At 46.7% G+C, this 13,474-nt stretch overlaps 1 protein-coding gene across 5 annotated transcripts in view, besides 1 other annotated feature; it reads left to right on the top strand.

Moving 5' to 3' along the window:
• The window catches only part of PXDN (peroxidasin), a 113,015-nt gene that overhangs the window by 65,261 nt on the left and 34,280 nt on the right, over window positions 1-13,474 (top strand). For all 5 annotated transcript variants that reach the window (XM_011510396.2, XM_047445789.1, XM_005264707.4 and 2 more), the window contains 3 exons: window positions 2,597-2,714; window positions 5,829-5,998; window positions 13,155-13,427. In XM_011510396.2, the coding sequence (XP_011508698.1) occupies window positions 2,597-2,714; window positions 5,829-5,998; window positions 13,155-13,427 (561 nt within the window). The remainder of the gene's footprint in view (window positions 1-2,596; window positions 2,715-5,828; window positions 5,999-13,154; window positions 13,428-13,474) is intronic.
• Window positions 1,253-2,178: an enhancer, noted in NCBI's record as "H3K4me1 hESC enhancer chr2:1681235-1682160 (GRCh37/hg19 assembly coordinates)". NCBI's record gives its function as "activates a minimal SCP1, AML or CMV promoter by ChIP-STARR-seq in primed H9 embryonic stem cells {active_cell/tissue: H9 hESC(primed)}" and the evidence as "EXISTENCE:reporter gene assay evidence [ECO:0000049][PMID:30033119]".

Below are 13,474 nucleotides of genomic sequence, written 5' to 3'. Positions count from 1 at the left end.
GACACACACACGTGCAGACACAAACCACACACACACACACGCACATACACGCACACACCATCCACACACACCATTTACACACACACCATTTATAGACACACACACATGCAGACACAAACCACACACACGCACATACACACACACACCATTTACACACAAACCATTTATAGACACACAGACATAAACCATCCACACACACACGCACATACACACACACACCACACACGCACATACCATCTCCACCCACCATTTATAGACACACATGCAGACACAAACCACACACACGCACATACACACACACACCATTTACACACAAACCATTTATAGACACACAGACATAAACCATCCACACACACATGCACATACAATCCACACACACACCACACACGCACATGCCATCTACACACACCATTTATAGACACACACATGCAGACACAAACCACACACACGCACATACACGCACACACCACACACTCACCACACACACATGCACACACCATCCACAAACACACCATTTATAGACACACACACACACACACACACACACACACATGCATGCACATACACGGCTGTTTATTTTGGTAAGGTGAAAGGATCTCCCTGTGTGATGGTTTTGTAATACGACAAAAATACACAGTTTTTTTTTTTAAGTTTCTTCTAGCTCAGTTCTTGCTGGAGCTATGTCAGGGGCAGTTAGAACTGAGCGCCGGCCTGGTGGCTGGGGGTACTGCACCACTCAGGTTTCTAGCCTGGGGAGCAAGAGAGGCCCAGACCCCTGTGCAGCCGCCTGCCTGCGCTGCTTCCCCACCCCGGACCCAGACTCCGCCCTCAGCTCCGCAGGGCACTGGCTGTCAACAGCTCCCAGAAACGGCCCTCAGTGGAAGGAGCTGCCCCACCTGCGTCCCTGAAGGGAGGGCCCTCGGTGCTCAGGGGGGCCCAGGGACCTGTGTTGCCCAGCTTGGCAGCTCTGCTGAGCTGTGCGAGAACCTGTGAATCAGCCGAGGCCCTGTCGTTTTCGCTGATGCTCCTATGGGTGTTCATTCCAGATGGTTTTCCAAGAAACCGACTCATGGCCTTCCGTAATCACAGTGCTGAGGTTGTGCCCTTGGAGACTTTGTCATACTTTTACTCCTTACTCCAATTTGGCTGTCAGTGATTATTCTTGTTTTTTATAATAGCTTTATCGAGGCATTGTTCCCGTGCCAGACAATTCACCCCGTTCAGGTGTACAGTTAGGTGGGTTTTAGGGTGTCTGCAGGGTTGTGCAGCCTAAATAATGAAGAAAGCAGCGAAAGCTTATTTTGATTTTGTGGTGATGGGGAGCCATGGGAGGGTTTACGGAACGTTGGGATGATGTTTATATTCTAGAAGGAGCTTTCTGGCAGCCCTCGGGAGAGGGAATCGGGGAGTGTGTGAGGGAGGCAGGGAGGCCGGGTAAGGCCTGAGTGGTGAGAACCTCTGTGAAGCCAAGGGCTCTAGTGCTGCAGAGGAGAGAGAAGAGGAGGCACGGTTCCCAGAGTGACGGGAGCACAGGGAGGGCTGGGCAGAGCCGCCCCAGCCTCCTGACCCGGGCTGTGCAATGCTGGGGAGACGGAAGGAGGCAATCCTGGAGGAGCCCTTGCTGACAGCCCCAAGTTGGGTCGAGGGCCTTGGTTTTGGTTGCCGGGCAGAATGGCAGCACTGAGCAGAGCCATCTCCGCTGCACACACACACACACTCGTACCCGTGCTTGTGTCCGCCCCACTGCAGGCACTCACTTGTACACACCTGTGTGTGGTTGTGTTTTTCTTCTCGTGATGCTCACAGAATGTACATGGAGACAGATTCGCACACTGAGGTGACGAGGCAGAGATGGAAGCCTAGGCCTGCCCTTGGTGTGGTTCCCTCATGGCTGCTGAGGGGAGCCTTAGAGAAGGCCGCTCCCTGTGCGGGCCTGGAGCTCCGGAGCAGCCACCAGGGACGGGAGCCTGGGAGCCGTCAGCCCTCGAGGAAGGCCTGGGAGCCGTCAGCCCTCGGGTGGCCCTCGGATGGCCCTCGGAAGCCATGTGGAGTCACGGGCACGCAGGAGGCAGGAGAGGCCATTCTCCCCTTGCCCAGGGTGGAGGGTGAAGGGCGGGGCAGCTGTGGAGGAGGGAGGCTGGGAGTTGCTCCAGCTGTGGTGTCTGCCACCTGCCTGTGCTTTTAGAGGCTTATTCTTTCAGGGACGCTTTAGCTACAGAGTACTATTTTTTGTCTTTTCTTCAGTGAAAATAGCGACCCGTGGCGTATCCACTCCGCACAGGTGTTTGGCTTTCCCAGAGGGCCTCGAGGGGACGCCGAAGGCTGTCATTTGGGGCTGTCTGCCCAACTCTGAGCCAGCCTGTCTCTAGGGTGCTCAGAACATGGCACCCTGAGGCATAGACATCATGTAGATCCGCACCATAGACGGGGCTGTAGAGAAGCCAGTCTGGCACTTTTGTGGGGGATGTTTGTGGCTGAATTACACCTTTGGGCATCTGTGGTTTCCTTTTGGACACAGAGAACTCAGCGTGTGTTGTCATTTATTTTCATGTCATGGTTTAGACTAAAAAGGTTTCCATTTTCTGGTTGGGCACAGAAAGGCCCCGGATCACCTCCGAGCCCCAGGACGCAGATGTGACCTCGGGGAACACCGTGTACTTCACCTGCAGAGCCGAAGGCAACCCCAAGCCTGAGATCATCTGGCTGCGAAACAAGTGAGTTGGGGCCAAACAGAAATGCCCCTGTGCATCTCTCGGAGTTACACTCAGACACCCAAACCACACCTCACTCCCCACCAAGGCCCACGTCCACTTTTCCTCCTCCACGTAGGGAAAAGTACAAAGGAGAAACTATTTCTGCTCCTTTTCCGGTCTTACATGGCAGGGGGTGTGACGACGTTTCTGCCAGGCTGGGGCCCCTTCCCCACTCTCTCCTGGGCAGCACAGGGGTGCCCTGGCTGGGCAACGCGTCACTGCGGCCCTTCCCGGTGGGAGGGAGGGAGAGCATGCTGGTTGTTCTCTCCCTGCCTGCTGACGTCTGGCAGCAGCCTGTTTGCTCTGGTCACTGTTGTTGGCAGCCTTGACCTGGGGCATTGTGACCAACCTGAGTGGGTGCGGGAGGGGCCCTGACCTCTGCTGGGACGGCGTCCTCAGGAGCCTGGAGCGCCATGCAGCTGCTGACACAGGTTCGCTCAGCTCCCGTGTGGATCTAACTTGTCTCCCAAACAAAGGAAGTCTTCTCTTGTGTCCACAAACATGCTGTGGACCTGTTAAGGCTAAGACGGCCCTGGCTGCGGCTGTCAGGGTGACGGAGGGAAGTCCTACCGCTGACCATTACATGCGTCCTGGCAGCGAGCCCCACCTGTGAGCCAGGTGTGGGGAGCACCCCTGCGCTGCTGGGGTTTGTGAGCTGGGGCTGTGTTGGTTAAGGAGTGATGGAGTCTAGGGGGAAGAGATGGGAGGAGGTGAAAGGCGTGCAAGGGGGGTGGGTGGGGCAGGACCTGGGTGCAGGGGCAGAGAGGCCTAGGTGGGAATGAGGTCAGATTGCCGGAAGGCACCTGGGGCCAAATCACTGAGGGTCCTAAGTTGGAGTGGAGCACTTTCAAAGTGACCTTTTGAAAGGAATCCTTAAAAGAAAATCCTGAAGTAAAGCCACCATGTCCTACCTTCTCCCATCTGCCTGCGTGAGGACAGCTTCTGAAGGAGCTCCTCCTGCCGGCCCAGCCCCAGCACTCCTGCGCTGCTCCTCTCTGGCCATGTTTAGTCATGAGGCAGCAAGAGGGATGCGTCTGAGATGTGAGCCCTGTGATACTCGGGCTCAAACTGAGTCATTGTTTGATACTCGGGCTCAAACTGTGATGAGGCACAAACTGAGTCATTGTTCCAGACTCCAGAGGCAAACCGGGCTGGGCTTGGCTCTCGGGCAAGGTGGTGTTTATAGAAGAGATGGACAGGAGCAGGGAGCTGGCCATCCCCAGTGGTCAGGAACAGAATGGGAAGATGTGTTCATGCTGAAGAGGACATGGGAGGTTTGTTCCAGCTCTAGATTTTGTTATCCTCATGACTGAAAAGTCATATTGACCTTGGCTGCAGTGCCGGACAAGGAGCCTGTAAGGTGCAGTCACTCTCTTCACAGCTTTTGTCTTGGATGGCTCCCAAGTTGATGAGATTTAAAATCCAGAGAACACTGGAGGAATTCTGCAGTATTATGTTGTGTGCATTTAAAAGTCAGGGAAGCATAAATTTGGCCCCAGTCCATCACACCTACATTTTATATACGAAAAAATTGATGCCCGCAGTTGAAATCTCACAGCTAAATATGGCAGAGCTAGAGCCAAAGCCCTGAGGCCTGGTGACCTGTGCTGGGCTCTGCCCTCCACCAGCTCGAGTCTCACCTGCCGGCTGGCCTTACCTAACATCCAGAGTCACCTGCAGGCCACCCTCACCTGCTGGCTCGCCGTGTTTCTGGTGGGGGGGATTGGGCCACATCAGAGAGAGTCTTGTTTATGGGGCCTAAGCTGACATTGCTTCCATCCAGCAATCCCTGTGGGTAAGGACAGATTGCAAGTTGGGGGATTGGTGCCAGGCGAGGAGAGCATGAGGAAGATTTGGGAGAAGGTGGGCGTTGGTCTTTCGAGTGTTCCCGACGGTTTGGCTGCGCGCTGGCAGGTTTCTGAGGGCGGTCATGGGGAAGTGCTTTTGCACAGTGCTGGTGCTGCTCCTCCTGCATGAGCGACCCAGCTTGGTCCAGGCTGCACAGGCTCCTTAGGAAACTCGCGTGGAAGGTGATGAATCTCGTGCACTGAGGAAGTGGGTTTCTGTTTCACAGAGGTCTTGTCTGTCTTGGTGATCTGCAAGTAGGAGTTCTCTGTAGGCCCGTCTGCATTCTCAGAGGGCTCCGTGCCTGGCTGTTCTTACTCTGTCCTCACACTTGCCATAGACTGGGATCTCAGTGGCATCCAATGTCACCTCTCTCCTCTTCACCTGCTTCTGCATAAAGGGAACTAAAGTGAAGTTACAGGTGGGGTGAGGGTGAGAGGCGGCAGGACTGAGCGTTGGGGTAAAGGTTGCAGCTTTTCTTGGCTGCCCGAAGTGTGTGTGATGCAGCATGGCCCCAGGGGAGGTCCTTGCTGCCCGAGGACTGGCCAAGCCATGCAAAGGTGGGGTCACCTGTGTCCTGGCCTCTTCGTGGTGCAGTGCCACAGGTTCCTCCCAGATCCCAGAGGGAGGCCAACCAGCAGCTTGCAGGCACTGTTTGTTAAAATACAGATAGAGAGGTCTGGCGCACACCTGCAATCCCAGCACTTTCGGAGCCCGAGGCAGGAGGAGCGCTTAAGCCCAGGAAGCTGAGGCTGCAGTGAGCAATGGTTATACCGCTGCGCTCCAGCCTGGGCTGCAGAGTGAGACTCTGTCTCTAAAATAAAAAAATAAAATACACATAGATACAGCTCTGGCTTTTAGTAATGTAAAAATGTTTCTACCCTTTTTAGTTAATTCACCAGAAACGAAAGAAAATGTTTCCTTGGAATTTTTTCCGTTTTGTTCATTGCTTTCTCCTTTGGAATTAGAAACACTTTAAAACATGTAGATAGATTGAACACGTGAATACTAAGGATAAGTACCTGAGTGAATGAGATGTGCAAATACACGGTCCCCTTTTCAGAATTGCCTGTTAGGTCAGGGCTGCCAGGAAGGAGGAGACCCTGGAAGGTGAGCTGTTCCTCGCACAAGTTGTGCCTGCTGCAGGGCTGGAAACCCCTGTGCTGGGGATGGGTGAGGTACGTCTTTGTGCTTTCAACACTTGACCAGACCATATTTCTGTCTTTGTAGTAATGAGCTGAGCATGAAGACAGATTCCCGCCTAAACTTGCTGGACGATGGGACCCTGATGATCCAGAACACACAGGAGACAGACCAGGGTATCTACCAGTGCATGGCAAAGAACGTGGCCGGAGAGGTGAAGACGCAAGAGGTGACCCTCAGGTACTTCGGGTCTCCAGGTATGTGGCGGGCATTTCACACCGGGGTTCCATCCAGAATTGTCGTCCCTCACTATCTGCCTTCTCCTTTCCTTGCACCCCAAAATAAGAATGAACATTGAAGTCTGAAGTTGAAGCTCCAGTACCAGGGTTGGCTCAGAAAGCTTTCTAAGCGCAGGGTCGTAGATGATCCATGAGCGGTGCTGTGGTCCCCAGTTAGCCCCTCATCTGGGGACACACTCATAGTCCACACAGCCGGGGCAGTCCATGCTGTGAGCCCAGCCCATTGAGAGAGGGCCTTGCCACACCCTGACCCACCGACCCCACCCCCCAGGCGCCATCTGAAGGGACAGCTACTCAGCCACAGCCAGCTGTTGCCATGTGGTAACGAGGTCTCTATTTTGCTAAGGGCTTGGATTATGTAAAAGAAACCACAAATCTAGATTTTTATCCAATATTTTCATGTTTAAGATAATGGCACCTAAATTTAAAACATTTAAAAACTGTCTCAGCCGCATCAAGTCCAGCTGTGGCCTCTCATCCATCTGGGCCCCATCAGGTTGCAAACTCTGCTCTGATCCACCTGTGTTATCCATGGCCATTGCTCAGAAGAGGAGCTGGGCCCTTGAAGAACAGCGGATTGAGGCATTGGGTGTACCCACCATGGCTCTGGGAAATGATACAGATCAGTTCATGCCTCTGGACGGGTCTGCCTGTCGTCCTGTGCAGAAGCCGGTAGAGTCGGAGCCCTTACCCAGGGAGGCTGCAGGTGTAACTTCCTCTCTGAAACCTTCTGGCTGCCTTTAGCTTCAGCCACAAATCATGCCAGGGTTGCTGCTTCCCTGGTATTTTGTATTTCAGGCCATTATGGTTATAAAACCTTTTGTTTGGCAATGTAAGTGGTTTTGGTGTTTCTTGTTTAAATCCCAGCTCCTTAATTGGCCTGGTCTCTGCAGCACCTAGTACATCCCAGCATAGACACAATCAACAGTTATCAGTGACTGAGAATTCCTGGCTATCACATTTCCATTCAAAGGAAAGCCCAAGGATATAGTACTGCTGAATCAAAGCCCTTAATCAAACAACGTTCCACATGTTTAGCACAAGACATTTAGCATCTTTCCAAATTCAGAATGCTGTGGGCCTGTGCAGAGAAGTTAAGACACAGCCGCTGCTCATAGAAGGAGCATGGGCTGTATTTTTAAGGAATTAAAAAATCCACAAAATAGGGAGAAAAAGTTATGTAGTACTGTTAAGTATATGTTATAGACAAAGGAGAATAACTATGGATTATGAGTAATGAACTACTTAGGAGAGTTACTATGTTCATAGGTTGATTGATTCCTAGACAGGAATATTTAGCCAGCTCTTTATGGCTTGAGAGTTCCAAATTTCACTCCTTTTGATCTGAATTGTTGTGTCTTTCTCAGGAACAGCAGCCCTATTTAGTATACTAGTCTGAGCATGTGGGTGTAGCTCCCTCAGATACACATGAAGAGTCTCCCGCCATCCGGTGCACAGGGAGTCACTGCAGCATGGGGGAACCAGCCCTGAGAAGCCCAGAAGCCTAGGCTGACACACTGCAGCCTGCAGTCCACACCTGCCTACTGCCTGTTTTTCCTAAGGTCTATGAACTGAGAATACTTTTCTACAATTTTAAATGATCAAAACTTTTAAAAGAAGAACAATATCTTATGACCACATGACAGCTAGAGGAAATTCAGGCGTCATTGTCTATGATTAAGTTTTCTTGGAGCATGACCACACCCATTCTTCTGCACAATGTCTATGGCTGCTTGTATGCTACCATGGCAGAGTTGAGTAGTAGCAACAAAACCTGTGTGGCCTTCAAAACTTAAAACAGGACCAATCTGGCCCTTTACAGAAAAAAATGGCCAACTGCTGTCACGGACTATGGTAATAATATATAGTAATAGGAATAGAGTGACGTGTAGGTCTCTGTGAGACACAAAGGGGCATATCGCACCCAGTATCCTGAAGCTCTGTGATTAGGAGCATATAAAAAGTTTGCAATTTTTATCTTTCTGATGAATTACATTTTTGATCAGTAACACTTCTATCTCTATCAGTGCTTTTTGCTTCAAGGTAAATTTGTTGTAAGATAAATACAGCAGCTTCTACTTGATTCGTATTGGCAGGTGTGTCTTTTCCCACCATTTTTCTCCGAGCCTTTCCATGTGCATATATTTGAGATGTTTAATATAAATAACATAGAGCTAGAAATTTAAAAAAAAAATCCTAAGTTTTTCTTAAAGTTAATCCATTTAAATATGTTTATTGTAGTTAACAATATGAGATTTATAAATTCTAGCTCTTATTCTGAACTGTTTGTCCAAACTTTTCTATGTTTCTTGCTTTAGTTGGAAATAATTATTTTTCATATTTGCTCCCCACTACTTGTTTGGACACTATGTGCCCATTTCTGTTCTTTTAATGGTTAGCCTAGAAAATTTTAAATGCATTCTTAAATTGCCAAAGCCTAAAGTTAGTATAACCTTCCCCTCTAACGTGCGTTCATCCCTCTGAGTTGATGTGCTTGGTTCTGTTTTTTTTTTAAACCTATAAACATTATTATTTTGTTCTCCCAGTGTTTGTCTGGATGCATCCATGTGGTTCCCACTTCCTTTGTCCTTCCTTTGTTTATCTCAGCTCTTCTGTCGGGGATCACCTTCCTTCTGCCTGATGTGGGGGGAGTTGGGCAGCAAGTTCACGTGAGGACCGGATTTTGGTGAACAACACTTAAATGAGATTTATTTCTCTCTTCTACTGGGCACTGTTCCCTGGGTGGGGCAGGCAGGTTTTGAAGTTAGTTCTTTCTCATGCCGAGGGCACAGCACTGTGGGGATGCAGCTGCTGTTCAGTTTTCTGGTGGACTTCTCTTCATGGGCCTGTGTTGATCTGTGTCTTGTCTTCTGTATCACATGAGGCTCTTAAGGCTAAATTTAAGTTATAAGGGTCTGCAGATGCCCTCAAGGCCGACTTTGACTTTGGTGTTCGTACTTCTGTGAGTAGCTTCATGGTTTCCAGTTTGTTATTCTGATAGAAATACTAATATTAAATGTCATTTCTGTATTTTTTATAATTTATACTTAAATATTTGATTAACACAGCTTACATATTAACATATATAAAAAAGGTAGAAAGTCTTCCTCCTGGCTCTTTTCGTCATCCGCTCAACTCCTATTCCCTTCCCCTCTTCCCAAAATGCTTAGTAGTTTCTTTCCTATCTATATACAAAAAAATGTAAGCATATTTGAGGCAAGTGATTTTTCTTAGATGATATCTTAGAAATCTTTCTAGTCTTTCACTTTTAATACATGAGGTTTCTTACTCTCTTTCTTTGTATAGCTGCATAGAATTCCATGATCTAAATGCACCATAATTTATTTAACAAGTTCTCTTTTGGAGTGAGTTTAGATTTTTTTCCAAATCTTTAGCTATCACAGTTGTGTGTTATTTATTCAAAAGCCTTTGGGCCAGATGTCTTTTGATATCCAGAAACTTGGGGAAATTTTCAGAAGGGTAGCATAGTGTAAAATCCACATACCAGTTTAGACTGTCAGCAGAGCCCTGTAATCAATGTATTAATATCCTATAGCAAACTGTATGGATATTCACAGAAAGTAGCATAAAGACTATAGGTAGTCTTATGCTAGCTAGATCCAGTTTTGCAAACAAATAAGTTATGAAAAAATAATGATTTTTGGAGCTTTCTGAATTTTAGCATGGCAGATAAGGATGGTTGACCTGAAGAAACAACAGGGCAAAAGGAAAACAAACAAAAATTATTTATTTATTTATTTATTTAGACAGAGTCTCGCTGTTGCCCAGGCTGGAGTGCAGTGGTAAGATCTCAGCTCACTGCAACCTCTGACTCCCTGGTTCAAGTGATTCTCCTGCCTCAACCTGCCGAGTAGCTGGGACTACAGGTGTGCACCACCATACTGGCTAATTTTTGTATTTTTAGTAGAGGCAGGGTTTCGCCATGTTGGCCAGGCTGGTCTCGAATTCCTGACATCAGGCGATTGCCCACCTCAGCCTCTCAAAGTGCTGGGATTACAGGCATGAGCCACCACGTCTGACCCAAACAAAAATTTATTTGGACATATGACATTTTATGTGCTTGTAAAAATATCTATGGATTAAGTTTCTAGCAGAATATATATATTTTTAAATTTTACTTTAAGTTCTGGGATATATGTGCTGAATGTGCACGTATGTTACATAGGTATACATGTGCCATGGTAGTTTGCTGCCACCTATCAACCTGTCATCTAGGTTTTAAGCCCGACAGGCATTGGATATTTGTCCTAATGCTCTCTGTCCCCTTTCCCCCAACCCCCCGACAGGCCCTGGTGTTTGATGTTCCACTCCCTGTGTCCATGGGTTCTCACTGTTCAACTCCCACTTATGAATGAGAACATGCGGTGTTTGGTTTTCTGTCCCTGTGTTAGTTTGCTGAGGATGATGGTTTCCAGCTTTTTCCATGTTCCTGCAAAGGACATGAACTCATTCTTTTTTATGGCTGCATAGTATTCCATGGTGTGTATGTGCTACGTTTTCTTTATCCAGTCTATCATTGATGGGCATTTGGGTTGGTTCCAAGTCTTTGCTATTGTGAGTAGTGCTGCAATAAACATAACGTGTGCATGTGTCTTTATAGTAGTATGACTTATAATCCTTTGGGTATATACCCAATAATGGGATTGCTGGGTCAAATTATATTTCTGGTTCTAGATCCTTGAGGAATCGCCACATTGTCTTCCACAATGGTTGAACCAATTTACAATCCCAGCAACAGCGTAAAAATGTTCCTATTTCTCTGCATCCTCGCCAGCATCTGTTGTTTCCAGACTTTTTAATGATCGCCATTCTAACTGGCATGAGATGGTATCTCATTGTGGTTTTGATTTCCATTTCTCTAATGACCAGTGATGATGAGCTTTTTTTTCATATGTTTGTTGGCCACATAAATTTCTTTTGAGAAGTGTCTGTTCATATCCTTAACCCACTTTTAGATGGGGTTGTTTTTTTTTTTTGTAAATTTGTTTAAGTTCCTTGTAGATTCTGGATATTAGACCTTTGTCAGATGGAGAGATTGCAAAAATTTTCTCCCATTCTATAGGTTGCCTGTTCACTCTGACGATAGTTTCTTTTCTTGTGCAGAAGCTCTTTAGTGTAATTAGATTCCATTTGTCACTTTTGGCTTTTGTTGCAATTGCTTTTGGTGTTTTAGTCACAAAGTCTTTGCCCATGCCTGTGTCCTGAATGTTATTGCCTAGGTTTTCTTCTAGGGTTTTTATGGTTTCAGGTTTTATGTTTAAGTCTTTAATCCATCTTTGAGTTAATTTTTGTATAAGGTGTAAGGAAGGGATCCAGTTTCAGCTTTCTACATATGGCTAGCCAGTTTTCCCAGCACCATGTATTAAATAGGGAATCCTTTCCCCATTGCTTGTTTTTGTCAGGTTTGTCAAAGATCAGATGGTTGTAGATGGGTGGTGTTATTTCTGAGGGCTCTGTTCTGTTCTATTGTCTATATCTCTGTTTCGGTAGCACTATCGTGTTGTTTTGGTTCCTGTAGCCTTGTAGTATAGTTTGAAGTTAGGTAGTGTGATGCCTCCGGCTTTGTTCTTTTTGCTTAAGATTGTCTTGGCTATACGGGCTGCTTTTTGGTCCATATGAAATTTAAAGTAGTTTTTTCTAGCTCTGTGAAGAAAGTCAATGGTAGCTTGATGGGAGTAGCATTGAATCTATAAATTACTTTGGGCAGTATGGCCATTTTCACAATATTGATTCTTCCTGTCCATGAGCACGGAATGTTTTTCCATTTGTTTGTATCCTCTCTGATTTCCTTGAGCAGTGGTTTGTAGTTCTCCTTAAAGAGGTCCTTCAAGTCCTGTGTAAGTTGTATTCCTAGGTATTTTATTTTCTTTGTAGCAATCATGAATGGGAGTTCACTCATGATTTGGCTCTCTGCTTGTCTATTATTGGTATATAGGAATGCTTGTGATTTTTGCACATTGATTTTGTGCCCTGAGACTCTGCTGAAGTTGTTTATAAGCTTAAGGAGTTTTGGGGCTGAGATGTTGGAGTTTTCTAAATATGCAATCATGTCGTCTGCAAACAGAGACAATTTGACTTCCTCTCTTCCTATTTGAATACCCTCTTAGGAGGGTGTATATGTCCAGGAATTTACCGCTTTCTTCCAGATTTTCTAGTTCATTTGTGTAGAAGTGTTTGTAGTATTCTTTGATGGTAGTTTGTATTTCTTTGGGATCAGGGGTGATATCCCCTTTATCATTTTTTATCCTATTTGATTCTTCTCTCTTTCTTTATTAGTCTGGCTAGCAGTCTATCTAATCCATTTGTCAAACCGATTAACAAAATATGTATTTTGTTAATCTTTTCAAATTAATCCAGCTCCTGGATTCATTTTTGTTTGAAGGGTTTTTCGTGTCTCTGTCTCCTTCAGTTATGCTCTAATCTTAGTTATTTCTTGTCTTCTGCTGGCTTTTGTTTGGCAGGGTCATTTCTGGGCAATAGAGTGTGCACATCTTCAGTGTCAGTATGCACGGCCACGTCCCTGCAGGTGGGCTGGGCCAGGGTGTGCTCCCACTGCCAGCATGGGAGAGTTCTGTTTCCACACAAACTCACACATGAAACACATTCATAATTGTATGGACTTTTTTCTGGATTTAAATTTGAAAAATATTATTTCTTGCTTACTTTTAATTTGCATTTTTTGTGAGTAAATTTGATATTTTGTATACTCTAAATATACTTCCCTAACAATAATTTGTGCCAATAAGAACTACTAGCAAGGTCTAACAAGATTGACATAATGTATTTTATTTAGAAATAAGAAACCTCCATGGAGTTCGGCACATGTTTTAAGAAAAAGCGCTTCCTAATTAGCTCTTCCTAACCGATCATGGTTGCTCACTTTTCTCACGTGGCCTGCATTTTGTTTGACCCGAGGCTGTGAACCATTTTTATTGTCTGCACATTTCTTTAAAAAGAAAATATGCAGTTACGTTGTGTTTGTTTTGCCTATTTCGGTGGTAAATAGAATTAATAGCCTGACATAGGAAAAATCAAGCAAAAACCATGTCAAACCGGGAGAAATTAATTGAGAATTTCTGTTTAATTGTGACAGCTCGACCCACTTTTGTAATCCAGCCACAGAATACAGAGGTGCTGGTTGGGGAGAGCGTCACGCTGGAGTGCAGCGCCACAGGCCACCCCCCGCCGCGGATCTCCTGGACGAGAGGTGACCGCACACCCTTGCCAGTTGACCCGCGGGTGAACATCACGCCTTCTGGCGGGCTTTACATACAGAACGTCGTACAGGGGGACAGCGGAGAGTATGCGTGCTCTGCGACCAACAACATTGACAGCGTCCATGCCACCGCTTTCATCATCGTCCAGGGTGGGTATCCATCCTCTGTGCCAGAGCCAGGGCTCAGCCCCATCCTC

The sequence above is a fragment of the Homo sapiens genome, chromosome 2 (genome assembly GCF_000001405.40).
Source record: "Homo sapiens chromosome 2, GRCh38.p14 Primary Assembly".
In the NCBI taxonomy this organism is placed as follows: Eukaryota; Metazoa; Chordata; class Mammalia; order Primates; family Hominidae; genus Homo; species Homo sapiens.
Note: the sequence above shows the minus strand (reverse complement) of the source record. Positions and strands in the feature narration are given on the sequence as shown.